Source organism: Homo sapiens, chromosome 21 (assembly GCF_000001405.40).
Source record: "Homo sapiens chromosome 21, GRCh38.p14 Primary Assembly".
NCBI classification, from domain to species: domain Eukaryota; kingdom Metazoa; phylum Chordata; class Mammalia; order Primates; family Hominidae; genus Homo; species Homo sapiens.
In genome coordinates this window covers 41739302-41767152 of record NC_000021.9, presented here as the reverse complement: position 1 = coordinate 41767152, position 27851 = coordinate 41739302, and the positions used below count along the sequence as shown (strand labels likewise).

The 27851-nt window shown below is 53.5% G+C and overlaps 1 protein-coding gene and 1 non-coding gene across 2 annotated transcripts, besides 9 other annotated features; both read left to right on the top strand.

Moving 5' to 3' along the window:
• Positions 101–27780, top strand: RIPK4 (receptor interacting serine/threonine kinase 4). The gene is made up of 8 exons (NM_020639.3): positions 101–293; positions 10337–10628; positions 15908–16056; positions 17950–17999; positions 20382–20540; positions 21291–21394; positions 23013–23271; positions 25156–27780. Exons 1-8 carry the CDS (start codon positions 112–114, stop codon positions 26313–26315), a joined length of 2355 nt encoding a protein of 784 aa, NP_065690.2. The 5' UTR covers positions 101–111; the 3' UTR covers positions 26316–27780.
• Positions 2389–2987: an enhancer, noted in NCBI's record as "H3K27ac-H3K4me1 hESC enhancer chr21:43184326-43184924 (GRCh37/hg19 assembly coordinates)". NCBI's record gives its function as "activates a minimal SCP1, AML or CMV promoter by ChIP-STARR-seq in naive H9 embryonic stem cells {active_cell/tissue: H9 hESC(naive)}" and the evidence as "EXISTENCE:reporter gene assay evidence [ECO:0000049][PMID:30033119]".
• Positions 2988–3587: an enhancer, noted in NCBI's record as "H3K27ac-H3K4me1 hESC enhancer chr21:43183726-43184325 (GRCh37/hg19 assembly coordinates)". NCBI's record gives its function as "activates a minimal SCP1, AML or CMV promoter by ChIP-STARR-seq in primed H9 embryonic stem cells {active_cell/tissue: H9 hESC(primed)}" and the evidence as "EXISTENCE:reporter gene assay evidence [ECO:0000049][PMID:30033119]".
• Positions 3250–3544: an enhancer, noted in NCBI's record as "tiled region #8078; HepG2 Activating non-DNase unmatched - State 3:PromF". NCBI's record gives its function as "activates a minimal TATA promoter and a strong SV40 promoter by Sharpr-MPRA in HepG2 cells {active_cell/tissue: HepG2}" and the evidence as "EXISTENCE:reporter gene assay evidence [ECO:0000049][PMID:27701403]".
• Positions 4289–4922: an enhancer, noted in NCBI's record as "OCT4-NANOG-H3K4me1 hESC enhancer chr21:43182391-43183024 (GRCh37/hg19 assembly coordinates)". NCBI's record gives its function as "activates a minimal SCP1, AML or CMV promoter by ChIP-STARR-seq in naive H9 embryonic stem cells {active_cell/tissue: H9 hESC(naive)}" and the evidence as "EXISTENCE:reporter gene assay evidence [ECO:0000049][PMID:30033119]".
• Positions 4923–5557: an enhancer, noted in NCBI's record as "H3K4me1 hESC enhancer chr21:43181756-43182390 (GRCh37/hg19 assembly coordinates)". NCBI's record gives its function as "activates a minimal SCP1, AML or CMV promoter by ChIP-STARR-seq in naive H9 embryonic stem cells {active_cell/tissue: H9 hESC(naive)}" and the evidence as "EXISTENCE:reporter gene assay evidence [ECO:0000049][PMID:30033119]".
• Positions 5558–6192: an enhancer, noted in NCBI's record as "H3K4me1 hESC enhancer chr21:43181121-43181755 (GRCh37/hg19 assembly coordinates)". NCBI's record gives its function as "activates a minimal SCP1, AML or CMV promoter by ChIP-STARR-seq in naive H9 embryonic stem cells {active_cell/tissue: H9 hESC(naive)}" and the evidence as "EXISTENCE:reporter gene assay evidence [ECO:0000049][PMID:30033119]".
• Positions 6193–6827: an enhancer, noted in NCBI's record as "H3K4me1 hESC enhancer chr21:43180486-43181120 (GRCh37/hg19 assembly coordinates)". NCBI's record gives its function as "activates a minimal SCP1, AML or CMV promoter by ChIP-STARR-seq in naive H9 embryonic stem cells {active_cell/tissue: H9 hESC(naive)}" and the evidence as "EXISTENCE:reporter gene assay evidence [ECO:0000049][PMID:30033119]".
• Positions 13521–14312: an enhancer, noted in NCBI's record as "OCT4-NANOG-H3K27ac-H3K4me1 hESC enhancer chr21:43173001-43173792 (GRCh37/hg19 assembly coordinates)". NCBI's record gives its function as "activates a minimal SCP1, AML or CMV promoter by ChIP-STARR-seq in primed H9 embryonic stem cells {active_cell/tissue: H9 hESC(primed)}" and the evidence as "EXISTENCE:reporter gene assay evidence [ECO:0000049][PMID:30033119]".
• On the top strand, positions 20312–20381 carry MIR6814 (microRNA 6814). Its single transcript, NR_106872.1, has one exon. It is a non-coding gene; the product is annotated as a microRNA 6814 (primary transcript).
• Positions 25961–26657: an enhancer, noted in NCBI's record as "H3K4me1 hESC enhancer chr21:43160656-43161352 (GRCh37/hg19 assembly coordinates)". NCBI's record gives its function as "activates a minimal SCP1, AML or CMV promoter by ChIP-STARR-seq in naive H9 embryonic stem cells {active_cell/tissue: H9 hESC(naive)}" and the evidence as "EXISTENCE:reporter gene assay evidence [ECO:0000049][PMID:30033119]".

Below are 27851 nucleotides of genomic sequence, written 5' to 3'. Positions count from 1 at the left end.
GGGTAAGTGGGCGGGGCCTGGGGGCGGGACGACCTACGGAAGTGACGTAACAGGGCGGAGCGCGCACCTGGGCACCTGGGCAGCCGCCGCGGCGCTGGCTAGACGTGCGCGATGGAGGGCGACGGCGGGACCCCATGGGCCCTGGCGCTGCTGCGCACCTTCGACGCGGGCGAGTTCACGGGCTGGGAGAAGGTGGGCTCGGGCGGCTTCGGGCAGGTGTACAAGGTGCGCCATGTCCACTGGAAGACCTGGCTGGCCATCAAGTGCTCGCCCAGCCTGCACGTCGACGACAGGTGAGCGGCCCGGGCGGGGCGCTGGGGCGGCTGGGGCCCGGGCTGGGGTCGGGGTCGGGGTGCTCTGGTCCCGGGGTCCTGCCTCTCTCTCCCGAACTCACCCCCGGAGCAGCTTCGGGGGGGAAACCAATTGCCGGCGAGGCCGCGGGGCTCCGACAATGTCCACTCGGCCTGTCCGGGCCGGAGGGGCGCGGGGGCTTTGGCGAGCCCGGGCTCGATCGCGCACGTCGGGGCCGGGTCAGGCGGCTCCTCTGGGGCTCCTCTGGGGCTCCTCGGGGGCCGCGTCTGCCCGGACGTCCTAAGGCGCCCAGTCGTGCTTCCTGACACTCCCCGAGTGGCCCTGGTTTTCGGGGTCTCCAGCTCGCCTTGCGCCTCGGACCCGCGCCCTTGGGAGGCGCGTCCGGCCCGCCCGGGACCCACCGGGGCGCTGCGGTCTGCGCAGGGCTTAGAAAAATTGCCATGTGGGCCTCTGGGCTTTGTGAGTGGAGTTAGCCTCCGTTCGACTTACTTAGTAATTTACGTTGGAACACAAATTGGTGTAAGACTGTAATTATTTCGGTCGGAAGCTTCGGCTTGGCTCGGGCGAGGCTTCCCGGGCGCCCGGCGCTTGCGCGGTGGAGCTCCGGGGCTCGGGCCTGGCAGTGGGGTCCGGCACGGGGCCCGGGGTGTTGATCCGTCCGCCCAGCGCTTCCTCGCCGCACACTCTCGTTTTAGCTGACTTAATTTCGAGACCGACCCGCTAGGGAAGGGCCTTGCATTCAAGTTCTGTGGCCGTGCCATGGGGCCCTCCTGCACCCCAGTTTCCCAGTCCAAAAGTCAGAATGGAACCTGCCTGTACCTACCTAGCAGGAGTGTTCAAGGTAACAAAGACGAATGGGAAGGACGCAGAGCCGCCCGTGTTAAATTCGGTGGGTCGGTTGTCGTCTGTGCATAATTTGAGAGGTAGGGAGAATGTTCTTGAACAGTACCTCTTTGTTGTTGTAGATTTCACTGTTTACAGTTGATTTTGATGGTTCATATGTAAGGCTCAATTTAGCACGTTTTAATTATTTATCCTTTAATGAAGCTTACCTTCTACATGGAAGCTATGCTTGTATTTTACCTAGAGATTCCTTGAACACATACACTCAGAAGCGACACCTTTTTAAAATACCATTTAGCCTTTGCTGCCTGGCAGACCTGGTTTCGAATGCTCGGCTGATTGAGTGATGGGGCCGCTAAGCCCCAGCTTTTCTGCAGAATCGTTGTGATGCCTGTGTCTGGGGTGGCAGTGCGTGCTGCAGCCCCATACCGTGACTGTGACGCCTCTGTGGATGAGAGGCCTGTCCTCTCCCTTTGCATTTTCGTCCTTGGCTAGGAGACTACACAGCAGAGATAGTGGTGGCTTTTTGCCGTAACCCTCAAATCCAGTGTTTCTTGGAAACACCAGTAGAGTGGTGACGAGTGTCATCAAATCACCACTAGTTCAAAGGTGAGATGCTGGCCCAGGCTGTGCACTTTTTCTCCCCTGCCTCAGATTCTGGGAACTTCTCAGGCCAGGAGGGGTGCTGTGGTTATTTTGATGAAATCCAAACCACTTTGAATACCAGCCAGTGGTTAGGTTCTGAAAGGGAACCCTCTCCATAGGGGCATTCGTTTTATCTCTTGGGGATGTGTGTGAGCTTTAATCATCAGTGAAAATTTTCACACCACTTTCTTATATTGGAAGAGCAAAGTAAACAAGCACCTACCTGGACTGACTCACCAGCTCACATCCTTAGGATCTTCTGTTATTTCTAGCGACCAGTCCCTTATTTCTTGGGTGGCCTGGTTGGAGGGAGGCTTTCTCCACTTAAGGTGGATCACTTAGGATATTGCATAGCTTGGTTGAAAAGTGTTTTGTACTTTAACTGGAAGCCTTTCCTACCCTGCCCAAAGCAGACAGGTGGTGGCATGTCAGGTGGCTAGGTCGAGGTCAGCATCGCCTAGCAGGAAGCATTTCACCTCCTGTGCTCTGCTGGGCCTGGTAGAGTAGGTTGGGGCTTTGCCATGTGCAGCAGTGGCTGATCTTTCTGAGAAGTTGGTCAAACCCTGGCTCTTTGTGAAGCTGATTCCTTTAGGTTAATTATTGACTGTATTGAGCCTGAGGTTCTTGTTAGGAATGTACATCAGTCCCACTGTGCTCCAGGAGCTGGTTGCATTGCAGTCTCACAAGGTTGTACCTAGGCCTTGAAGTAGTCGCTGTGCCACTTGCCCTGCCACATTTCTCAGTGCTTTTCTGACGAGCTGCCTCCCACCCCAGCCCCTCATATTTGCAAGATGTTCCCTGAATTGGGGCATAGGATTCTCCTAGGGTCTTTGTGTGCAGCCCCCGGCCCTGTACCCCTTCTGCCTAAGTCTTGCTTCTCTTCTCGGAGGGACAGCCCCTCTCACCCCTGACACACGGGTCTGGGCCTCTTCCAGGCTGCTGGGGGTCAGTGATGGTCTAGTCCACTTGTTACATAGGAGCCACCACAGGTACAGGTGCAGGTGAGGCTGATTTTCACTGGCCAACGCTGCTTGCCTCTCAAGGTGGTCTGGGGTCTCCTGGCTCCCTGCAGCTCCCCTGGGCCAGGCCTTCAGCCGGCCCTTGGCCACAGCACCTGCTCGGGGCTTGTTTGATGAGCAGGCTGCGCCAGGCCATGTGAGCTTGCTTTTCTGTGCAGGAAAGGTTGGGGGGCCGCCCAGCCCCCAGACACTTAGCGAGGCTCCCAGGGACAGGAAGTGCCTGCCAGGGGGCCCTCCTGGGAGTTCACAGGTGACACCCCATTGATCTGAGATTACCTTCATCATGGGGCTCGGTGCCTCGGAGGGTCCTGTGGGGTGGCTTTGGAGAGGCAGCTGGCCTCCCTGGCTGACCCTCATTGTGGGGGTCACAGGGCCTAGGGTGGGGTGTAGGGATGGGTGCTGTGACCAGTTTGGAGAGAATAAAGTGATCCCAAAGGCCCCGTTCCTCCCCTACCAGCCCCCAGCTAAGGGGATGCTCAGAAGAAGCCAGTGCCTGCGGGGCGCCGGCTGGGAGACGCTCCTGCCACATTCAGCCCTGGCTGGTCGGGGCGAGCCTGAGCAAACCCCAGGTTTGTAACAACAGAGCTGACGATTGGACAAGCCCGTTTCTTGTCAGTTTTAAAAATAGCCGTGTGGGAACCCCTCCGAGGCTCCCTGGGAACATAATTGGATTGGTGTGCAGAAGGCCTCGCTGAGAGGCATCAGCTAACAGATGATGAAACACATTTTCCGGCTGCATTTTCCTGAAGGTAGTTGCTAGGTTTCTCCTTCGGAGCTCTTTGTTACCTGAGCGGTCTCACCGTCTCCCCCACCTCCCTGCTTCTCACTTTTCCCTTCGTTTATTGCTTCTCCGCTTGCACAAGACCATGTCCCGGGGCAGTTCTTTCCCCCTTTCCAGGATGCGTGCTTGCAGGGGAAACCGCAGCTGGCCTGGTCCACAGGTCTTTGGAATTTCTGAGCCTGGAGAAGAACCTTGGGACTTCTTTAGAAGTTCCTTTTAGAGATGATTGGTGTGATGATATTTCTCGTATTTCTCGCTACTCCATTGGCCTCCCTGGGAGGGCGAAATACACTTTGGCTAGCCCTAAATGAGGAGAAAACCGAATTCATCTAAGTGCTACTCACCGTATCTTTAAAAAGTTGAACCCCAAGTTAATCCTAATTAATGCCCAGAGATTTTTCATGTGGAACCCAAAACAGGACCCAGGACACTTTTGCGGGGGAGGGGGGGCTTTTCCCGTTCCTGCGTGGAAGCAGAATTAGCAACGCTTTCACCAGCAGCGAAGGAGAGGGGAATAGGATGCCACCCCCTCTGAACTGTGCCTAAGCGTAGCTGCGCTTGGAGCAAGGCACAGTTTTTAGGTTGTGTTTTAATTAACACCGACGAGAGGGGCTTCTGGTCAACCCAGAAACGTTGACTTCACTGTCAACAGTAAGAAATGCGATTTGGAGACGGTGCGAATGTGACTGTGTGATGTTCTGTGCTCCCTGGCCGCCACCCCAGCACCTAGGCTGGATTCGGCATCTCTCCACGTGTTAAAATGATAATAGTAATAAATCTACAGTTCCTTTTGTGTGGTCATCAGAATAAGCCAGAATCATTAAAATAAGCCAGAAACACTGCTTAGGAGAAAAAAATGTATTAAAAAAAATAGTGCCATTGCTCAAAAGCAATTGGTGGGTTCTTTCTGTGCTTCGAGTACCTGAGCACTTCTTAACCTCCCTGATCAGAAAAGCCTCTTCTTGCAGCTTGTTGCAAAGAGGCCCTTTCAGGCTTATTGAATTGCAAATGCCGCCGGGCGACACCCGACCCCAGAAGGGCTGGAGCTTCCTAAAGCCGCTGGAGTTTCCCAGATGTGCGCCTAGGGAGCACCTGGAGAGGGGCTGGAAGGCGGGGTCGTGTGGGTTTTGGCCCAGTGGTTACTGGATGGTAAACAGTGTGGAAAGTTTCTGAGGACATGCTGGTGCTTCTGAGCGAAATCCAGGCTGGTAGGCAAGGGAGCCGCCCCACCCCCACTCCTGGGCCTCAGATCTCCCACAGGGCGGTCCCGGGACCCCCTTCCTCAGCTGGAATCCTGTCTACCCCAAGCCAGTTTGGATCATGCTGTCACAACACTTTTGTCCACGGAAACAATGACTTTTTTTTTCCAGGACAGCTGATTTTCCTCGAGAAAGTGCCCTCAAATGTGTGGCCCATGGAAGGGGGAAGTCGTGCCGGGCTCCCTTCAGGCAGTTGCGCAAAGCTGGGGTGGACTCCGTTAGGAGATTCTAGCCGGGATCCGCTTTCAGGAGCCAACTAGCAGCAGTGGCCCTTTTTTGTTTGTTTGTTGTTTCTTTTAAAGTAAGGTAAATGGGGTCTCCGTTCTGCAGAAAGAGCCCGGGGCAGGGAGAGTAAAGTACTTGCTGAACTCGGTGCGCTGGGGAGGGGTGTGCACTGCTGCCAGCCCGTAGCTGTTAGAGTCGCCAATGAGCTCACTCTGCAATCAGAAGTCACCGGGGTTTTATGTATTAAGCCCTTTGGGCAAATAAAAGAAAACACTATTTGTGGAGTGGCTCAGAGCTTCCACTTAATAAGCTACTCAGCCTTCCTTTGATTGACATTGTTCTCAGAATACGTGTTTATTATCAGTCAGCTTTGGCTTAGAGAGTTCACTCTCAGAATGTCTACTTAATGTGGAAAAATGACCCTTGCGAATGGCTGGCCTCTAAACACCCGAATTGTCATTTCCTCAAAACCCTCCGGCGAGGAGGGTGTGCCTCACACGGTTGCACAGTGGATGTGGGTCTGAGTCCTACGGAAGGACTTTCGCCAGCGCCCCGGGGCAGAGTGTCCGGAGGAGGGAGGCCACACTGGTAGGGGAGGGGCGGCAAGCTGGCCACATTTGAGCAATCGGAAACAGACAAATCATAACTCTGATTCTTAACAAGACATAAAAGAGAAGCAGCAGCTGGTACCATGTCCCAGTCCGATGGTTTGGAAGTTAGTGGCAGTTGCCGGGTTGGAAGTTGTGCTGGTATTCCTTTAAATAACAAATGAGGGCCTCAGCCAACCGGTGTTCCCAGAGGAGGAGAAAGGCTGGGAGCTGAGAGGTGTCATTTTCCTTCTTTGGTGACCGGTTTCATTTTAGCTGATGCTTGACGTTGGCATCAGGTCCTCGTCTTCCTTTTTTCCCAATGCTCACTGAGACTGGGGACAGGGTTGAGAGTCCCACGATCTGATCTGCACCCCCCATCCCTTGATGGGTCCCAGAGCCTGGCCCAAGCCTGTGGCTGCAGGGAGAGGGATTTCCCCTGGAGAGGGAGGAAGCAGCCGATGGTATGCTGGTGATGGGGCAGCTTTCAGCTCAGCCCAGGGACCCCCACAGGCTAGCACTGCACACTGGTGGGCATCTTGTTTTCCATTAGTTGGTCATTTAACCAGAGCGCTAGGAAAGCAGGCCGTGCTCCCCTAAGTTTTGTCTCATAATAATTTCACGTTCATTCCTGATACTTGCTTCACTTGTTCCCAAGGCCAGTGGGATTCTTTGCTCCTTGAGTGTATTCAGACACACTCGACCTGCCCACCCCCCACACCCCCCAGCTGCTCCTCCTGGGGTGCTCCCGCGTCCACCGTAGAGAGCTGCCTAGTGACCCCTGGTGCAGCTCCAGAGAGGTCCTGCAAGCTTCTCCCCTCCACATGCAGTCAATGGACCCATCCTGCAGATTCTTCCAACAGAGTGTGTGTGCTCTGCTGGCTTCCCCTCTCTGCTTTGCCAAGCCCAAGGGGATCCACAGCGACTGCTCCGCTCTGCTGGCCTCCCGGGTGCCCCTGGACTCTGCGCAGGTCTCAGCCTTCCCGATTCTCTCAGGGGCCCTTTCCTATGCTGACTTCTGACTTTGGATCTCTCTTGATTCTCCATAGCTCCCTGGACCTTCCTTTCAAGAGGCTTAGATTTTTCAACCACACTTCTCTTTTGGGGGTAGTTCGCCATCTTCTTCCTTAGAGGGTACACGTAAACACCATGAAGGCGGGAAAGGGACCTCTTGTCCTTAGTTCTGACATATGGTGGATTCAAGCGAGCACTTGCCAATACACAGAACTGCTTAAAATATAGGTCAGGTGAGTGCTGGGAATACTGAAGTGGTGATTCTGGACAGTAGTAGTTTATTGGCTGAAAATGCACTCACTTGATTTACATCGGGGTTATTCAACTTGGCACCGTTGGCATTTGGGGCTGAGTAATTCTTAGCCTTGGGGCTGTCTTATGCATTGTAGGATGTTCAGTAGCATCCTTTAGTTGTGACAGCCAGAATCTCTCCAGACATTGCCCAGTGTTTCTTGGGGGGTGAAGTTGCCTCTAATTGAGAACCAGTGGGCTATGTCCTGAGACGCAGAGCCCTAGCTGCAGGGCTTGCATTGTTGGGGGGCAGACAGGCTGAGATCTCCGAGCCTTTGGTACCTGTCCGATGTATGGGAATTTCCACAGCAAGAGCTAAACAGTAGGATCCAGGGGTTCCTGCTGGCCTTTCCTGCAGGGAAAGTGTTTTCACTATGGTAAGGGAAGCCTAGGAGGGGCTGAACTCTCGCAGGGGCGGTCAGATCATTAAGAAATGGATGCGTTCTGTTGGCACTGTTTTGGATTCACCAGCAGGCGAGGAAATGGGAGCCACTGAGTGATTTCCCAGCACCTGCTCCCGGGTTTGTCACTGGGAGGAGCAGGCCTGTGTCCGAGCTCCAGAAGAGCCCCCTGCTGTGGCAGCGGACACTGGGTTATAGGCAGGGACTTGGGCTGGACGCTGGATTCTGGGGGAATTGTCTGGAGGCCACCCCAGCCAGCTGCCTTGCGTGGCCTGTGTGTGGACATGGAGCTGCTGGGTTTCCTGCTATAGGAGGTCGGATCTCTCCTAGTGTGGTTCTGAACATTTCCTTTAGGGAGCTTATTATATTATTAGAAAGCAGATTGGCTGGGCACGGTGACTCATGCCTGTAATCCTAGCACTTTGGGAGCTGAGGCAGGCAAATCACTTGAGCCTAGGAGTTCAAGACCACCCTGGCAAACAGCAAAATCCCATCTTTACTAAAAATACAAAAAATTAGCTGAGTGTGGCACACCTGTAATCCCAGCTACCCTGGAGGCTGAGGCATGAGACTCACTTGAACCTGGGAGGTAGAGGTTGCAGTGAGCTAGGATCATGCCACTGCACTCCAGCCTGGGCAACAGAGCGAGACTCTGTTTCAAAAAAGAAAAACAAACAAAAAAACAGATTTTCCAGCCCCAACCTGGAATGCATTCTCAAGGAGTGAGGCCTGGGAACCAGCATTCCAGCCAGCTTCCTGGGTGCTTTCTACCATGTCTGTGTTTGGGGCTGCTGATCTCGATCCTGCATGGCCAGCGTGCGTCCGTGGGATTCAGCCTCTTACTCTGAACGCATTCTGAGACTTTTGACCCATGATGCCAATACAGACCATTGCACTGGGATTCTAGTCTGTGAAAACACAGGCTGCACCAGGGAAGTGACCTTAGACCAGAGGTTGGTCAGCTTTCTCCACGAAGGCCTAGAGAGGCAACATTTTAGGCTTTGCAGGCCGCAGGGCCTCTGTTGCAAGGACTCCTCTCCCCTTTGAAGTGCAAAAGCAGCCACAGCCAGTGTTTAAATGAATGAGTGAGACTTTCTTCCAGTAAAAGTTTATTTATACAAACAAGGTGGTGGCACGCTGTGGGCAACCATTTGGCAGTTTCTCAAAATGTGACACATAGACTGTGACCAAGCAATTCTGCTCCTAGGTATGTATCGAAAAGAATTGAAAGCCACGACTCCAGGCGTTTGTCCCCCAATGTGTGCAGATGTGCAGCATTATCCACGAGAGCCAAAAGGTGGAAATGGCCTGCACCCACGAACAGATGAACAAAACGCAGTACATTCGTGCAGCAGAATATTATTCAGCCATGAAAAGGAAGTTTTGATATATGTTACAGTGTGAATAGACCCTGAAAACATGCTTAATGAAATAAGCCAGACACAGAAGGGCAAATTTTATATGCTTATGCTTATATGAATTTGCCTAGAATGTAGAAAAGAGGTTACTGAGGATGGGGATGAGGGAAGGAGTTATTGGTTAATGGGTGCAGAATTTTTGTTGAGGATGATGGAAAAGTTTTGGGTGTAGATAGTGGTGATGGTTGTACCACATTGTGAATGTGGGTAATGTCAGGGAATTGTACACCTGTGAATGGCTAAAATAATAAATACTATGTTATGTCTATTTGACTACATTTTCTCTCTCTCTCTCTCTCTCTCTCTCTCTCTCTCTATATATATATATATATATATTTTTTTTTTTTTTTTTTTTTTTTGTTATGGAGTCTCTCTGTGTCGCCCAGGCTGGAGTGCAATGGCGCGATCTCGGCTCACTGTAACCTCCGCCTCCCAGGTTCAAGTGATTCTCCTGTTTCAGCCTCCTGAGTAGCTGGGATTACAGGCAGGCGCCACCACGCCCAGCTAATTTTTGTATTTTTCGTAGAGACAGGGTTTCACCATGTTGATCAGGCTGGTCTCGAACTCCTGACCTTGTGATCTGCCTGTTTCGGCCTCCCAAAGTGCTGGGATTACAGGCATGAGCCATCACACCCGGCCTATATTTTTTATTTTAAAAAATGGCTGGTTGGATTTGGCTGTTGGCAACCCCATGCTTTGGACCTATGCTGTTTCATTAGTTTGAGTGTGAGGTTGGATTCAGGAATAACTGGGCCAACTCAGGTATTGGGCTTAAACGGAGAAGGTGAGTTGGGTTCCTTGAACATAACTAGTTACAACTTTTTTTTTTTTTTTTTGAGATGGAGTTTTACTTTGTTGCCCAGGCTGGAGTGCAGTGGCATGATTTCAGCTCACTGCAACCTCTGCCTCCCTGGTTCAAGTGATTTTCCTGCCTCAGCCTCCTGAGTAGCTGGGATTATAAGCATCTGCCACCATGCCCGGCTAATTTTTGTATTTTTAGTAGAGACGGGGGTTCCACTATGTTGGCCAGGCTGGTCTCGAACTCCTGACCTCAGGTGATCCATCCGCCTTGGCCTGTCAAAGTGCTGGGATTACAGGCATGAGCCACCGTGCCCGGCCTAGTTGCCTAGTTACAACCTTGAGTGGAACGTCAACTTCTCTTCCCTCCTCCCAGGAGAAGGGATTATCGGCCTGCACCTGCAGTCTCTGAGACCCCCAAGCCTTGGCTCATGGCTGCCTGTGGAATTATTCACACACGTGGACCCCCCACATGTGTTATCAGTGCTACCTGTAAAACGATTAGAATTTCCCTCCTCCTCACTTGTGATAACCCTGTGATGCATAGGTACATTTCAGCAGCCTCAGGACTGAGACTCTGGAAAGCCCTGCATTCGTGATGTGACATTGAAGTGTGCCCCATGTGTGTGCACTTGAGGCATTTGCTCAGCCCTCTGGAGCTGGTCGTCTTCTGGCCAGGGTGCTGTTCCATGTTTGTGGCTGAGTGACCATTGCGTATTCTTCATGCCTTTGAACTTTTTCAGGGAGCGCATGGAGCTTTTGGAAGAAGCCAAGAAGATGGAGATGGCCAAGTTTCGCTACATCCTGCCTGTGTATGGCATCTGCCGCGAACCTGTCGGCCTGGTCATGGAGTACATGGAGACGGGCTCCCTGGAAAAGCTGCTGGCTTCGGAGCCATTGCCATGGGATCTCCGGTTCCGAATCATCCACGAGACGGCGGTGGGCATGAACTTCCTGCACTGCATGGCCCCGCCACTCCTGCACCTGGACCTCAAGCCCGCGAACATCCTGCTGGATGCCCACTACCACGTCAAGGTGGGGGGCCGCACGGTGCCCGAGAGAGCTGGGCAGGGAGGGCCTGTGTCTTGGGGAGCAGGGTATCAAGGGGTCAAGCCCTGAGGTCAGGACAAGGGCAGAAGAGGAGGTGGTTCTTCTTGGAGGAAAGAGCTTGAAACCGAGGCCTTTTGCAGCATGAGGACTCCAGGAGCCTAAGCTTGTCCTGGTTGGTATGAAAACCACACGCCATGTAGCTGGAGGGTAGCTTGGTGAACATGGGGGCTGTTCCCCCAAATCTTGGCATATGACTCATTCCGGAAAAAGATTACGGGTTTGTGGGTTTTGGTCTTATGAAATCAGGTTAGAATTCAGCCCGTGGGCCAGGTGTGTCCTTGCGAGACCTTAGGCTCTGCAACAAAGGGACGCATTTCCCTCAGTGTTTTCAGGAGCTCGGGGTGGTGGGAATGTGGGGGTCCTCTGCAGTGGGGTCCTCAAAGTGCTGTGGAAAGAGGCTTGTGAGGAGGGGCTCGTTGCCTCTGTCTGCCCCTGCGTAGAGTGCGGAGTGGCAGCGTGTTGCGTTAGTGCAACGCCTGGGAGATGGAGCTTGCTTTTGCTTCGCTGATAGGTTTTTGAAACACAGAAAAGTAAGAGAGATAATGTAACTGAAAACCAGTGTTGCCTCTGGGCCTTGGCAGGTGTTAGCATCATCACCTTTGCATCAGGGCTGTATTTCCTTGTATCTCCTTTGATGGCCTTCGTGGCTAGGGTTGTACTGTCGTTGACATGTGGTGGTTACACCTGGCGCGTTGTAGTTTTTCCCCACGTGGTGATGTTCACATGCTCTTGGGAGGCCCAGGGTGATAGGCTGGTCCACATGACACTGGTGTCTGCCCTGGGAGTGAGAAGGAGCCGAGAGCCATGGTCCGGATCCATGTAGTTCATGCAGGGGACAAGCAGAGGAGTCCCCTGCCTGGCTTGGCTGTGCTACTGTTCCTGGTGGCACAGCACTTCCAGGCCTCTCTGATGGCCTGACCATTAATTAGGAGAGACCTGAATTCAGGGCCCGGCCCTGCCCCTGAGCTCTTGGGTGGGACGGGAGCGGTGGCTCGTATGGCATGCGCACGGCCGCTCCCTGTGCCCAGACTCTGCGGACGAGTGCATCTCGCGTGCCTTGCTCAGCCAGGGCGGTGGTGAGGAGGTCAATTTTTCACTTCGGGCAGTAATTATAAGTTGTCTCTTAGGTAGGTGTTGCGCAGTAATAAGATTTCAGCTAGAAGATGAAGCACCGTCCTGCGAAGTGAAGTAGGAAATTGAGATAATGGAGACAAAAATCAAATGACTTGGCTTGAACGGGCTCTCTGGTGGTTTCCCGCATCTGCTTATGTTCTGGGACCCCTGGGATTCCCGTTTCCTGTGATGGGCAGGGCTGGGCCTCACATGCGGACCCCCCATTCCCGCCAACATTTACGGGCTTGTTTCTAGGTAGCACAGGCTCTGGGGCCCTAATGACTAGTAAGCTCTGCCGTCCAACGTGCACTGAATACCGGAAAGGACATGCTAGAGGCTTCACCTGCGGGAGCTGCCCTCATCCTCAGAGCAGAGGTGCAGAGTGGACGGTGGCCTCTGGTTCTCGCTGAGTCTCTGCTTAGAGTGAGTAAATTAGCAGCCAGGATCGTCCAGCTGTAAGTCACGGAGCAGAGACCTTGATTTCCACCTGGCCTGCCACTGTGCTTGACATGAAAGAAACCAAATGACCACTGCACGTAGCAGTCACTTGGGGGCAGGGTGTGTGGCCCGCAGGCTGGGCCTAGAGGCGGCCCTGTGGGAGGGGGTGGGAGTGCTCCTGGGGCTGGGCCTTCACACAGGGTGGGGCTTTTCTGCCCTCAGGAGTCGGGGCAGGCAGCAGCAGAGCCTTTAGGTGAAGGAAACAGCCCAAGAGACGCAGAGAGCTCTGGGCCTTCCTGCAGGGGCAGCAGGCAGCAGGGCTTCCCTGTCTTTCAGGACAGCTGCAGGGGGCGGATGCTGCCTGGAACTGCTTTCTCAGGGAGGCTGCTGTCGAAGGCACGCTGGGTGCTGGCCAGGAAGTGACAGGACATCTCTGTGTGGTGCCCCTGGGACATCTTAGGGCCCTGTGTACCCTGACAGGCCGCAGGAAAGATTGCTTTTGTGTGGCGTCCTTCTTAATCAGGCATGTTAGTCACCATCAAGAAGCCCAAAAACAAACCGAAAAATACCTTTACGTGACATACTTATTTTTTCTGTGAAATAGCTACTGGTGTGCGTAGAGTGCAGCAGGGAGTGTGTGTCGGGGTTCTGAGAGTCAGCGCCTTTGTTCCTGAAGACGAAGTGTGGAAGCTTTGCATGGACTGACCACTGGGCTTCTGGGCAGTCCTCAGTAGACAGTTATTCAATGCAGGAAAACTGTAATCCAGAATCCTGCAATTAGATCCTAAGTTGCCATTCCAGTGCTGCCATTCGCCTCTGAGATGGGCTCCCTCAGTGCTCAGGGCTCGATTCAAACTGGAAATATCACAGCAACTGTCTACTTCATGAAGCAGTTAAATGTAAATAGTATACAAAGTAATAGTATCAAATTAATGCTTGATATTATTCAACATTACATATACTAAATACCAATATTAAGATACTAGTTGGAATCAATTTCAACTTAAAAATGAAATAACTTGGTTTAAAATCTCAGGCTGCATTTATATGTCCAGTTAGCCCAAAACAGACGCTTTTCAAAGGGTCACACGCGGGTCACGTTCTGCTGTGTCTTTCTTTTAGAGGCAGCAAAACCCCGGCAGGCTGCTTTCTTAGTCTTGACAGCTGGACCTTGAAGTTGAAGGGCCATGTGCTTGGGGGCAGCTGTGAGCCCTCAGCTCTTGGAGATGCAGAGTCGGGTGCTGATGAGAGTGTTTGTAACTCTTGAAGCATTTGCTGGTCAGAGTGGATGCCACAGTAGCTCGCTGTTGAGGACACGGGGTGAGGGGCAGCTTGGGTGGGAAGATGAGGAAAGGCGGAGGGGAAATGCAGCCGGCCAGGAGTCCGAGACATGGAGGGAGGAGAACATAGAGGGTCAGTGACCCTCCTAGAATTCTCAATTCCGAGCTTGCATTTTGTTGCCAGAGGTTTTACAGAGAATTTCTGCTCGTTTTCTTTTCACCAAGTATAGTTTGGAGTGGCTGGCTCTATCTGACAAAGACAGGAGGAGAAAAGGCTGCAGGCCTGGGGAAGCACCAGGCTGAGATCTCTGCACCCCTGTCGTTTTTCTTTTCTTTTCTTTTCTTTCTTAATGATCTCAGATGTCATTTAATTTTCACAACAAAGCTACAGGATGGGTACTGCTATTGCCTCCTTTTATGAAAAAAGGAAACAGGCACAGAGAGGCTAATAGTCCAGGGCCACGGAGCTACTAACTTGTACAGGCAAGATTAGAACAGTGAGTCTGATCCTTAACTAACCGTGGGAGGGAGATATTTTTTTCCTACATTCAACCATACAGGGGGAGGAGGAATTGCCTAGAAAGTATGTGATGCTTTCTTTATTTTTATTATTATTTTTTATTTTACTTTTAGTTCCGGGATACATGTGCAGAATGTGCCAGTTTGTTACATAGGTTTATATGTGCCATGGTGGTTTGCTGCACCCATCCACCATCTAGGTTATCACCTAGGTTTTAAGACCCGCATGCATTAGGTGTTTGTCCTAATGCTCTCCCTTCCCTCTTCCCCTACGCACCGACAGGGCCCGGCGTGTGATGTTCCCCTCCCTCTGTCCATGTGTTCTCATTGTTCAGCCCATTTCTGAATTTGAAGGCTTTCAAGCCACTGATGACTGTTGAACTGAAACTTCCTGTGCTCTGGAGCTATTTGGAGAGTTAGGACCCGTTGTTGTGTCCCAGCGTCCAGCAGCCGCCGGGGTTTGCAGGGTCGGGTGATGGCGTTCCTCTGGGGAGCTGGCGCTTTCCCTGGAGTGCAGAGTGTGGCTCTCAAGGGCGGTGCAGGCCTGAAGGCCCTGGGAGAAATGGAAGTGGGAGGACATGAGAGCCGCTGGAGTCGAGGCCTTGTCCTGGTGCTCCTGGCTGCAGAGAAGGAGGGCCGGTCCCTGCTCGCAGGCCTTCCCCCCTACCTCCCTGCAGATGTGCTCAGGATCCCTGGAAGCCCGAGTCACAGGTCATAAATTCTCCCAGCTGTTTGGTGCTGATGACAGCAGCCCTATTGGCTCACCACATGGGCATGGCCAGCCCAGAATTAAGGCCTGACTCAGCCTCATTTCCTGTCACTCCATGGGTGTGTTTGAGAGGAGCTCAAGAGTTAATGAAAAGGGTTTTTAAAAAAATCCATATGCCTTGAAGGAAAGTTGAGAGCAGCACTCCCCCTGGATCAAGAGTCCCATTAATGCTGATGACTTGTGTCTTCATCCCACATACGGTTTTCAGCAGCTTCAAAGGGGACTGAGTTACACTGGAGAGGGTAGGACACTGGCAGGAAAGGGGATGCCCCCGAGAGAGGTCAGACCGGGGGTCTGTGAAGTCTCCCCAGTGAGCTCCAAGGTCACCTTTGCCCGAAGGAGACCTGAGACCTGCCTCCCCTGAATGCGGACGTTGAGGGCATTCCTGGAGGAGCTGGGTGGCCGGTGCTCCTTGGGGCCCGGGCGCTGCCAGCAGAGGTGTTTATCAGACCTTCACTCGAACACATGTGTTTGAAGCAGCCAGCCAGTGTCTGCTGATCACAAAACACTCCAGATGGACGGGGCTCTGAGGCGTGTGTTTTGTTTGCTTTAAAGTTTAAAGGGCTTCTGAAGGTGTGTTTCTGTGTTTCCCTTTAAAGGACTTGCAGCCACTTGCCCGCCAGCCTCCCCAGCTGGCAGGTTGCATAACCTGCTCCCCGACTTCTCTAGGAGCAGACCTGGTCTTCACATGTGTCTCTCTTTACCTGAACCCTCGAAGGCTTGTTTTTTTCCCTTTATGCCGGCTCAGCCGGCTCTCAACCACCATGGCAAACATGATGCTTTACAGAAGGTGGATTCTAATTCTTCTGCAGTTCTGTCCCGGATAACTCCTTCCTTACAGTACGATTCTTTCACCTGCCCGTCAAATGTGCTGCTCCTAATGCCTCCAGGCTTGCTTCTGCCCCAGAATCTGTCTCCCTCCCTGCCTGGGGCAGGGCTACCTGGAGAGGCACAGACACGGCTCTTAGGGGCTCCTGGAAAGCTCTCACCCACCCTCTGAGATTGCAGAAGGGAGCTTTTGATAAAGCATCATAAAATATCACTGTTGCAGGCTAATGAGCCCCGCTCTGATGGCTGTGTTGCAGATTTCTGATTTTGGTCTGGCCAAGTGCAACGGGCTGTCCCACTCGCATGACCTCAGCATGGATGGCCTGTTTGGCACAATCGCCTACCTCCCTCCAGAGCGCATCAGGGAGAAGAGCCGGCTCTTCGACACCAAGCACGATGTATACAGGTGTGTGACATGCCGCCCCCCATCCCCTGTGGGTGCCAGGGGCTCTCAACCTCAATGCTTCATGCCCTGAGCTGCAGCTTTCAGAAAGGCCTCTTGCTGCCAGTCAGAAATGGGGCTCGGGCCAGGCGCGGTGACTCACGCCTGTAATCCCAGCACTGCGGGAGGCCGAGGCAGGAGGATTACTTGAGCCCAGGAGTTTGAGACCAGCCTGGGCAACATGGTGAAACCTCATCTCTACAAAAAATACAAAAATTAGCCCAGCTTGGTGGCGTGCACCTGTAGTCCCAGCTACTCGGGACTGAGGTTGGGGGATTGCTTGAGCCCGGGAGGTGGAGATTGCAGTAAGTCATGATTGCACCACTGCATTCCAGCCTGGGCAACAGAGCGCGACCCTGTCTAAAAAACAAACAAACAGAAAGGGGGCTAAGTCCACATAGAAGGGGTGGGTGCTTGTAGAGTTCAGGGATTTCTTTGCTGTGAGTGTTGCTAGCCAAGGAGGAAGGGTGTTCCCAGGTCCACATTTGGGCCAGGCTGACAGCCCTGCCCTGTCAGAGCCTTGGTGATTTCATGACCCGTGGGCTTTATGGCTTGTCTGTTGGAAGAACCTGCTGCTTTCAGTGGTCTGTACGCATGTGTGTTTGTACTTTCCGAAATTCACTCTGATTTTGTGAGGCGAGCAGCTCATCTTCTTCATGGCACTTAACCTTTGTTGGTCAGAGATCAATCCCCAAGTCACCTAGTCCCTTCCTTTTTCAAATTGTAAAGGTCTTAATCACACAGACTTCTTGGAGAAGAAAAGTGGGTGGGAGCGTGTGAGCAGGCACTAAGCCTCCCATTGTGGCTGTTATCCAGCAGCACTGTGACTCGGACCCCGCATGTGAGCTCTGCCTTTTGGTCACTGCCGCCGCCAGCAGCCCAGGCTGACTGGTTTGACAGTGGCCATTGTGCATGTGCTTAGCTGGGGCTTTAAGCTGAGAGTTGCCTGGAAGTGTCACTTTGGAGACTAGTCACAGCTTGTAGAGTTTGGGGAGATTGAGATCCTCTCCATTTATTTTAGAGTTTGGAGTTCCAGCTTTTGAACCTGCCGTTTGAACTAATTTTCGATGGTGAATTCGTTGTCTATAAACAGCCCTCACCAACTCAGTGCTCCTTGGAGGCTCAGTTTTCGGACTTCTGTTTTTCTTTTCTTTTTTTTTTTTTTTTTTTTAATCAATTTGGGCACTTTTTTTGGTGTATCCAGAGTAATGTACATGAACGTATCCCTCATATTATCTATATATTTCTAAGCAGCCCCCGAAAAAGGCTTTGGGGCGTTCAGCTGTGTTGTCTCCTACGTTTTCTGCGCACTTTCTTTAACAACCCTCTAATGATGAACTCTCAGTGAGCCTCTGTTAGGAACGCTGAAATCTCAGCAAGCCTACGTTAGGAACGCTGATCAGAACCAGAATCCGTGTTTTCAGAGAATGAAATCATTGTTGGGGGAGGGCATGGGAGTTGCCCATCATTCATTCATCCATTTCTTCAGTAAATGCCTGCGCAGGTGCTCTGTGCCTGGTGCTTGCGAGAAGATATCAGTGAGGCACACAGGCGCTGTTCCCCAGGAGCTCACGCCCCGCATAGGGTGGCACCCTCTTTGGAAGTCCCTCAAGCTGCCTGAAGATTGTAGCCCAGTTGGCGAAGTTACTTGAGTCTGTCTGACATCTGAGCTATCAACATGCTGGGCTTCACTATAGAGAATTTTCTCTTTTTAAAAACAGGAGAAATATCTCGGTGTCATGGCTCTGTCTTTGGAAGGCTTCAGAACAGGTGTCTTCACGCCTGTTGCTGTGCATGAGTGCATTTGGCTTTGAGTCTCTGGCTGTCAGATGCTAACGTGCCTGGTTTCTCTTCCAGCTTTGCGATCGTCATCTGGGGCGTGCTCACACAGAAGAAGCCGTTTGCAGGTGAGTGGACCTGTCTTTGAGGTGTAATGTGCTTGTCTTTCCTGGAATAATGGGGGGACACCTTGTTGTCCTTTCTCTATCCTAAAACAGAGCCTGTGATCCACGCTGCCATAGGTGCTGCTCTGTGGTGTAATTTGCATGCAGGAAAAGACACAGATCTGAAGGGGCCTGTTCAATGGAATGTTTTTAGGTGCCAGCTAGTTTTTTTGTGGTAGTAAAATATATATAACATAAAATTGGTCATGTTAGCCATTTAAAGTGTATAATTCAGTGACATTAACTACACTGGCAGTGTTGAACAAGCGTTACCACTGTCTAATTCCAGAACATTCTCATCATGCTAGAAGGCAAAGCCCATGGCCATTCTGCAGTCCCTCGCCCTTCCTCCTGCTCAAGCCCCAGCAACCACTCACCTGCTTTCTGTCTCCAGGGGTTTGCCTGTGCTGGTATTTCCAGCTAATTCTTTTTTGTTTACTTTTTAAAAAAATAGTCATAAAATACACAGAACAAAACTTAGCATGTCAGCCGTGTGAAGCATACAGTTCAGGAGCATTACATGTACCCGCGTGCTTGCGCAGCCAACCTCCAGAGCTGCTCAGTGCCATGGAGTTGCTTGCAGGAGTGGCACCCCTGCCCAGCTTGAGAGCTGTGGTGTTTGCTTCCCCAGCCAGGCAGCCACCATTCCGAACACCATCCTCAAAGTTGTCACACCTTGACTTACTTATCATAAAAATCCAGGACTTTTTAGCTTTGTTGGACAGATTCCCTTTTCCTCTAAAGACATTTCTGGGCTACTCATGATATTTTGTGGTGTGACCGAAAATGTCTAAAAATGAAGATGAGAGTCAAGGCCTAGCCCCTTGTTAGTCGGGGCTCAGACTAGGAGCCGATGTATGGGAAAGTGCTGGGGTGAGAAGAGATCTTCCAGCATCGCAAGATCAAGTATCTTGGCAGCTTTAAAAGAATGTCAGTAGAAAGCACAGAACGCGTCCTGCCAGGCCTCTGCTGGCCGGTGTCCGTCTGTGTTGTCTGACCGCCTGTCGCCTTTCTTGCCTTCTGTACGTTCTCCCGCACAGTGGCCTACAGCCCGAAGGCTTGTGAAATGAGGCAGTGTCTGATAGATGTGACACCCGAAGCTAGGCGCAGGGGACAGGTCAAGGCTCAAGCCCTTGTGCTTTATTGCTGAATATGCCTAGTGTTCCCTTATTGGAACGCTAATCATATGGGAATTATTCGTGTCCTACTGTTCAAGGTCATCGCCAAGGTCTGATTTTTCAAATTCAAAAAATTGCAACCTCAGGCAAAAATGGGTAGGAGGGGGTTCAAGGTGCAGGAGAACAAGGCCTCTCCCCAGCTTTTCCAGTCTGTGCTTGGCAGCAGGAAACATTCCGGGCGTTTACTTCAGTTTGCTTCCATTTTATTTAGAGGAGCTGTTGGTTTTGAAGTCTGAATAATCATGGAAATAGCCTGCTAAACACTTAACGATATTTATTGCACAAGATTTAATGGGAAAGTGGAGCAAAACATTGTATGGAATCCTGGCAGCCGTGGGTGATTCTCGGCTGATTTTCCACACCTGCTGAGGCACATGGCCTCTCCAAAGAGCTGCCATTCCATGCGTGGGTGTGTTTGGATCTGGAGGGCAGAGAGGGCTGTTGGGAACAAGAACCTTGAGGGTTCCAGGCTAAGCAGAAAAAAGAACTTGGCCCACTGGATGTCACCCTGGGCCCTTCCCAGTCAGGGTAGAAGTTGTGGCAATAATAATAATAAGCTAGAGCCCATGCATGCTAGTGAAGGCAGTTGGAAAGGACAGGTGCGGCCCCACATGGTGAATTGAGGGGAAAGAGCCCTTCCACACATCCCAGCCCTGGTGCACCGGCAGGGGAGGCCAGCTGGGGACCTGAGCTTGGGATTGGAGTTGGAACTGAGGAAGACTTCTTCGCCATTGTAGAGAGAGTTGGGTCTCTGTGGATGTAGGACGCTGTGGCTCCTCCATGGTGCGTGAGCCTCATTCCCTTTGCTGGCTTGGGCTGTTGATGGAATGAGCCTCATAAGATATTGTTCTCCTTTGAACCTCATCTTCCTTTGGATGGGATGCCTAGAAAGATCTGCTCTGTGACCAAACACACTGACTCCTTCTGGTAGATCAGAACCCAGGGAAAGAGGTCGATTTCAAAACCAGGAAACTAGAGAGCATGGCGCACCATGAGGGTGAGGGTTACAGGAAGCTCTGCCTTTGAAACGGAGTGGGGGAGCCGTCTCCCTGGGGTGGTGTGGGGATGGCCCCATTGTGGCCCCCGGCGAGTGTGTCGTTTCCTCCCAAGGGTGAGATGCTGCCACCCAGCCCTGCAGAGCCCCTGACTCGCATCCTTCCCTTGGCAGATGAGAAGAACATCCTGCACATCATGGTGAAGGTGGTGAAGGGCCACCGCCCCGAGCTGCCGCCCGTGTGCAGAGCCCGGCCGCGCGCCTGCAGCCACCTGATACGCCTCATGCAGCGGTGCTGGCAGGGGGATCCGCGAGTTAGGCCCACCTTCCAAGGTGAGCACCCCGGGGTCTCCCCGCCACATTCTGTGGGTGTCACAGGAGACAGAGGTGACAGACAGGACAGGGTGAGGGACCAGGCCTGGGTGAGAAACAAGGCGTGTAACAGGTGGGCCGAAATGAGCCCTGCACAGATAGGTTGGACCCAGCACCTGCCTGCGGCCTCTGGTACTCACGGCTCGGCCACGGCAGCTGGAACTGAGTTGCCTCCAACCATCCGCCCCCTGCTCCCCACCAGGGTTGGGCTTGCCACCCAGAGGAGTCTGTATGGGAGCCTGAAGTTCAGGTGCAGCCATGCTCTTCCCGGGGACTTACCTGGCCGGTGGCCGGCGGCGTCGCCCTTCTCTTGAGGAGTTGACTTCCTGGGACAGATGTGTCTCTGGCATAGGAAAGTCACCCTGATGAGATGGAAACTGCTGCATTTAAAGCTTACGGCAGGAAACGGGCTGAATGGGGAGCTCATCCGCCAGGTGCTGGCAGCTCTGCTCCCTGTGACTGGCAGGTGGCGCTCCCCCGGGGAAGGCTTCCGCCTTGAGTCTGGTGAGGCCTTCAAATGATTACCGATGGGGGGGCCTGGGTTTGGCCAGCAAATTGTCCATGTAGGGCCCCTGGGCTTGCCTGGTGAGCTCAGGCTGGGCCGAGGCGTGTGAGAAATCCCCCAGCTCGTGGGGGCCCTGCGTTTATATGGAACGCGTGTGTACGCAGAAGTCATCATCCGAGTGACATGTCCCCTTTCTTCCCCACAAGAAATTACTTCTGAAACCGAGGACCTGTGTGAAAAGCCTGATGACGAAGTGAAAGAAACTGCTCATGATCTGGACGTGAAAAGCCCCCCGGAGCCCAGGAGCGAGGTAACGAGTCCTTCCCACAGGGGTCTTTTGTCTCCTCGGCTTCCAGGCAGGAGTTTCCAAACCACTCCTCTTTGCAGAGTCCCCCGCCGCCCGGACCACTCTCCCTCTCTTCTGAGCCCATCCCGCACCCAACTCCATTAGAAGTGTAGGTCCCATGGGGGCTCAGGTCCACCTGCCCGACTGCATCCCCGCCCCACCTCCTGTCTGATTCTGCGTGAGTGGCGGAAGGGCTTCCCTGACACTAAATAGCCACTCATTGGATGTGTGTGGACCACGGGGATCAGAAGGCCCAGCCCCGGCCGGGGAGGGAGAGCTGGTGTCTGAGTGTCTTTGCACCCCTGGCTCGGGGATCCAGTTCCTTTATAGCTGCCCATAAATGGTCTGCACTCTGATGAGTGCCACCCAGGTGATTTCAGATGTGATAAGAAGCTCCAAGTAGCAGGGCTGGCTAAATGCCTTTTCGGGTGATGAGGCTGGAGCAGACCTGTGAGGCCCAGCTGATAAGTGAGCTTTATAACGTGTTATCTGGTGTTGGGCGATTAATCCCAGGCTGTTGGTGTGAGCTCAGGAGATCAGGAAATATGTATATCAGGAATATGCGCCCACTGCCTCAACATAAAGTGCATGTGTGCCAGTGAGCCCGGGAGCAAAGGTGCCCGGGGGTTGCTAGTACAGAGGCAGACCTGGGCCCTGATAAGGGAAAGAAGGCAACCAACATGTAGGGGTGGCTCGGTACACCCAGCAACAGTGCGGGACCTCGAGCCGTCCCACAAAGGGTGGGGAGTTGGGGCAAACAGGTGTGCCTAAGGGAAGAAGCGTGAAATCCCGTCAGATTCCACTTACCCACCAGAAACCTGCTGCCCCTGCAGTCCATGAAGCGAGACTCTTTAAAAGGCCCCATCGGTGTATGTCGGATTGGATCACCCCTCGTCCCTGTAGCCGGGTCCTTCCCCTTTCCCTCGTCCCCACACAGCCCCCAGGCCAGCCCCACGTGGCTCCGCGGGGAGGTCGCAGTTGTGGCCACGTGTGGGGGTCCTGCCCAGTTCCTGTCTGTCCTCTCGTTTCCTGCCAACGCTGGCCTGTGCTGGGCAGCTGTGTCCCGCCATACATGCCTCACATTCTGCAGCTTGACACCGCCTGCCTTTTGTCTGGGTGACGCTCTGTGCAGTGTTACTGAGCAGATGGTATCCAGAGCTGCATGAGGCTGGATTTTGCACTTTTATGAAGGCTATCTTTCCTTAAGATGTCTCCGTGCTGGGTGGGGCCAGCGCAAGTCTTTGTAGCTCCAAGTCTTTGAGCTCCCTGGCGCTGTGCGGGTGCAGAGTCTGAGCATCCCAAGTGCTGTGCGGGTGCAGGGTCTGAGCTGCCCGGCACTGTGCGGGCGCGGGGTCTGAGCTCCGCGGCGCTGTGTGGACATGGCGTCTGAGCTCCCTAGTGCTGTGCCGATGCGGGGTCTGAGCTCGGTGACCAATAGGTTATCTGCATTGCTTCCAGGGTCCGTCCTTTCCTCCCCCATCTCCCTCCCGTGGCCCACCTTGCTCTTCTGTGTTTGTGTCATGGGCGGGCCATGCGGTCTATGGCAGGGTCTTCACCCACCCCCTCTTCTGCATCTTCGCAGGTGGTGCCTGCGAGGCTCAAGCGGGCCTCTGCCCCCACCTTCGATAACGACTACAGCCTCTCCGAGCTGCTCTCACAGCTGGACTCTGGAGTTTCCCAGGCTGTCGAGGGCCCCGAGGAGCTCAGCCGCAGCTCCTCTGAGTCCAAGCTGCCATCGTCCGGCAGTGGGAAGAGGCTCTCGGGGGTGTCCTCGGTGGACTCCGCCTTCTCTTCCAGAGGATCACTGTCGCTGTCCTTTGAGCGGGAACCTTCAACCAGCGGTGAGTGGGGACGCCTCTGTGTCCCGAGAGATGCTGGGCTTGGCGGGACAGTGGACTGGACTCAGTGAGAAGCTAAACGGAATCAAGGGGACAGTTTCTTGACCCAGCAAGAATTCTTCTTTGTGTTCTCTCTGTCTTAAGTAATTAATTTTGTGTGTTGGGCATTTGGCTCCGTCTTATGTCACTTAGCATGTGTGGGGAACAGGCCACATCACCAGTCTGTGCAGCAGTCTTGCCTGTGCCAGTGCCATGGGTGGAGGCTGACCTCAGGTCTACAGATTGGAAACCCCCTCCAGTGCAGTGAGCCTGGCGAGTAGCCGAGCCCCACTCCCTGGCGGGCCTCCTGTCTCGGGCGTGGCAGTCCCGCACCCTCTGCTCAGACGCTGCTGGGTACACACCCACGCCTTCGCATATGTGGGCTCCCCGTTCACGGTAGTCCAGGCCTAGTAATGTGTTGGTTATCCTTGGAGGTTTTACCACCAGGCCACCTTTGCAAACCACCTGATAGGGAGGAGCACTTCTCTTTTAGCTAATCTCATCTTTTTATGTTAATTTTGATGGCTTTTGTTTCTGGAAGGTGCTTTTTTTCCTATCCCTGCCCCAGGGTGCTGGACCTGGTGCTTGTTCTGGCCTCCTTTCTGCCGGCTGCAGGGGTAAGATGTGGTCCTGCCCTGTTCCTGAAGGGGCTGCAGCTCTGATGGAAAATACAGGGATTTACACTCAGGGCTACAGCCACGGGGGCTGAGGGCCAAGGCTGCAATCTCGGGGGAAGGGGAAGTTGGCTTTTCCTGGTGGATTGGAAACATCCTCTTGGAGGCAAAGACTTTTCCTGGATCTTACAGACTTCCCGGGATTTTTAGATTAGAATATTGGGGGCAAAGGAGGCTGTCTTGTTTTAAGGCAATGCTACATAGACACAGTGGGGAAGACCTGGTTCGACGGCAGATAAGCAGTGGGTGATGGGCTTGAGGAGGAGAGTCAGGGCAAAGTCTAAGACTGAGCAGAAAGAAATACCACCATCTCCCATGGATAAGTACGTTCTAGAACATTCTCTTTGGGTCTAATACTCTGAAATGACATCTTGTCTTCATGCTCGAGAGAGAATTACTTCACTGGCTCCACTTGGAGTGCCAGTGTTCAGACACCAAGCCTGACTGGGAGGGTTCCGTTTTCTTAACACCTTCCCACCGCCGACTTCCAAGTCCCCACGCGTTTCACATGAGGGCGGAGGAGAGTCTCGTTGCAGGGTTTCAGCATTCCAGGCACTACGGTAGGATTTTTGTGGTAAATACAACTTTTCATCCTGAGTGCTGGACTAACGTCCTCCTGAAACGAGAAGCTCGGTCCCTTCAGGATTATCATAGAAAACTTCCGACTTAACCTCCCCAGGTCAGGAGGTGCCACTTCGAGGTGGGGCAAGAGCTGGAGCAGCCCCTTCCAGCTCTAGTCACCATCTCTGCAGGCTGCTAGGCCTGGGGCGTCCGTGGGTGGCAGGTGCCAAGGCTTCCAGGCGAATGGGAGCTCTGGCCTGGTCTTTTTAGTCTGTGCCCTTTTTCCTTCTTTCTTTAATGAAGGGATGTTTGCAGTCACTGCCATCTCTAAGCACCAAGGGGGCTCACCACCCCGCAGGACAGGGAGAGCGGGTTTTATTTTGCAAACCGACTAACGAGCACCTGGGAGACATTCGCCAGCCTGCCCCGGGGCTCCCGCTAGGACTGACCTTAATCACGAGGCACAGACAACGCTCAAACACAGTCGGGTGACCAGCGAGCAGCCTGGAGGCCATGGCACTCCTCCACCTGAGCGCCACAGCCAGGCTCCCAGAGACGCCACGTCCCTGGATGTGCAGCCACGCTCTGACCTTTGCCTCTCCTCTCCCTGCAGATCTGGGCACCACAGACGTCCAGAAGAAGAAGCTTGTGGATGCCATCGTGTCCGGGGACACCAGCAAACTGATGAAGATCCTGCAGCCGCAGGACGTGGACCTGGCACTGGACAGCGGTGCCAGCCTGCTGCACCTGGCGGTGGAGGCCGGGCAAGAGGAGTGCGCCAAGTGGCTGCTGCTCAACAATGCCAACCCCAACCTGAGCAACCGTAGGGGCTCCACCCCGTTGCACATGGCCGTGGAGAGGAGGGTGCGGGGTGTCGTGGAGCTCCTGCTGGCGCGGAAGATCAGTGTCAACGCCAAGGATGAGGACCAGTGGACAGCCCTCCACTTTGCAGCCCAGAACGGGGACGAGTCTAGCACACGGCTGCTGTTGGAGAAGAACGCCTCGGTCAACGAGGTGGACTTTGAGGGCCGGACGCCCATGCACGTGGCCTGCCAGCACGGGCAGGAGAATATCGTGCGCATCCTGCTGCGCCGAGGCGTGGACGTGAGCCTGCAGGGCAAGGATGCCTGGCTGCCACTGCACTACGCTGCCTGGCAGGGCCACCTGCCCATCGTCAAGCTGCTGGCCAAGCAGCCGGGGGTGAGTGTGAACGCCCAGACGCTGGATGGGAGGACGCCATTGCACCTGGCCGCACAGCGCGGGCACTACCGCGTGGCCCGCATCCTCATCGACCTGTGCTCCGACGTCAACGTCTGCAGCCTGCTGGCACAGACACCCCTGCACGTGGCCGCGGAGACGGGGCACACGAGCACTGCCAGGCTGCTCCTGCATCGGGGCGCTGGCAAGGAGGCCATGACCTCAGACGGCTACACCGCTCTGCACCTGGCTGCCCGCAACGGACACCTGGCCACTGTCAAGCTGCTTGTCGAGGAGAAGGCCGATGTGCTGGCCCGGGGACCCCTGAACCAGACGGCGCTGCACCTGGCTGCCGCCCACGGGCACTCGGAGGTGGTGGAGGAGTTGGTCAGCGCCGATGTCATTGACCTGTTCGACGAGCAGGGGCTCAGCGCGCTGCACCTGGCCGCCCAGGGCCGGCACGCACAGACGGTGGAGACTCTGCTCAGGCATGGGGCCCACATCAACCTGCAGAGCCTCAAGTTCCAGGGCGGCCATGGCCCCGCCGCCACGCTCCTGCGGCGAAGCAAGACCTAGCTGGCTGCCTGCGGAGACCGGGGGTCCACGTGGGGCTCTTGTCCTGTCCTGTGTTCCTCGTGGGGATGGAACGATCCTGCGTGGGGCCCTGTTGTGGCTTACCTAAATGTTAACCAAGCAGAGGTGACATGGTGCCATCAGGAGGCGGCTGCTGCTGACCGGAGTGTCCCCTCCAGGTGAAGCTGGCTCAGGTGCACATGCCCGCTCCATCATCGATCTAGGCACCTGCTGTCTGAAGGGACCGTGGGTCAGAATCATTTCGTTGTGCTCCTAATGGGTCGCTGAGGCTGGTCTCTCAGTGATGAAGCCCCAGGCGTGGAAGCATCCACTCTCTCCTGAGGCGAGCCACCTTGGGTTGCTGGAGCTCACCAGTCTTGAGGGAGGTGCAGGGGAAACTGTGTTTTTTATCTTCATACATGACGGTGGGCAGAGAGGCCTGTCTTAAAGTTTCCATGGAATTGTTTTATAAAATATCTTAAGAGATGAATACCTTATCAGCTGTTGCTTGAAACCTGTTAAAAATGTTCATAACATTGGATAGTCTAGTCTCTAAATGATGACTAAGTAGTGGGGTTGGCTTTGAAAACAATGTTTTATGCAACAAGGAACGAATGGTAGCAGCCAGCTTTGCGGGGCGTATGTGTGGCCAGCTCTTAACCATTCCAGTCTATTACTTGGGTGAGTCCTTGTGGACAACCACACACACGTGCCCACATGGTACTAGCTGCCGTTCGTTTCTCGTTGCCTAAGATGTTTTGGCAACTCTAGAGCCACAGGCCTAAGTCATTAAAAAATTCTCCCTTTGTAACCTCAGTGCTGGGGACTGAGGCGAGCCCCCTCAGGTCGCTGGAGTGCACCAGTCTTGGGGAAGAGGTGCAGGAGAAGCTGTGTTTTTTATCTCCACACGCAGTATGAAGATAAAATTACATAGTATTACCTAGACATAGACAGTATTACCTAGGTAGATGCACTGCTCACCTGCGCCCTTCCCAGCTCTCATTTTTGTTAGGTGATTTGGGATAGGGATAGTGTTTTGGGGTATGGGGGGAGTGTTTCTGACCTGCTTTGCAGACGTGCCTCCGCACCTCAGCAGTTTGGGGTGTGGCCCCAGGGCGGTTCTTGGATGTAAAAGATGTGGCCATCTAGCCTCGTAACTTCACTGTCACCTGTGTCCCATAGGGTGCCTTCTGAATACTGTTATTAGAATAAGTTTGTTGCAGAACGTGACCCTGCGTGCAAACATGTACCGTGGCCTGGTATATGATAGAGATTGATATTAATGTACCATGTATGTTAATGTGAATCTGTGGGCAGGATACTTTTCCATGGCAGGAAATATCCAAGCTGTTGAAACTGGCTATGTTTTAATATGCCTCATTGTGCCTTTACTGTTGTGTGGACTGCGTGAGGGACAAGAAGTTCCATTTGATGTCAATAAAGCAAAGTACTTGCCTACTTTTTTGAAGCTGGTTGAGACTGCTTTTTCTTATCAACGAGCTCGAGTAATCTGGTTTCTGAAAACCAAAGGCTTGAGGC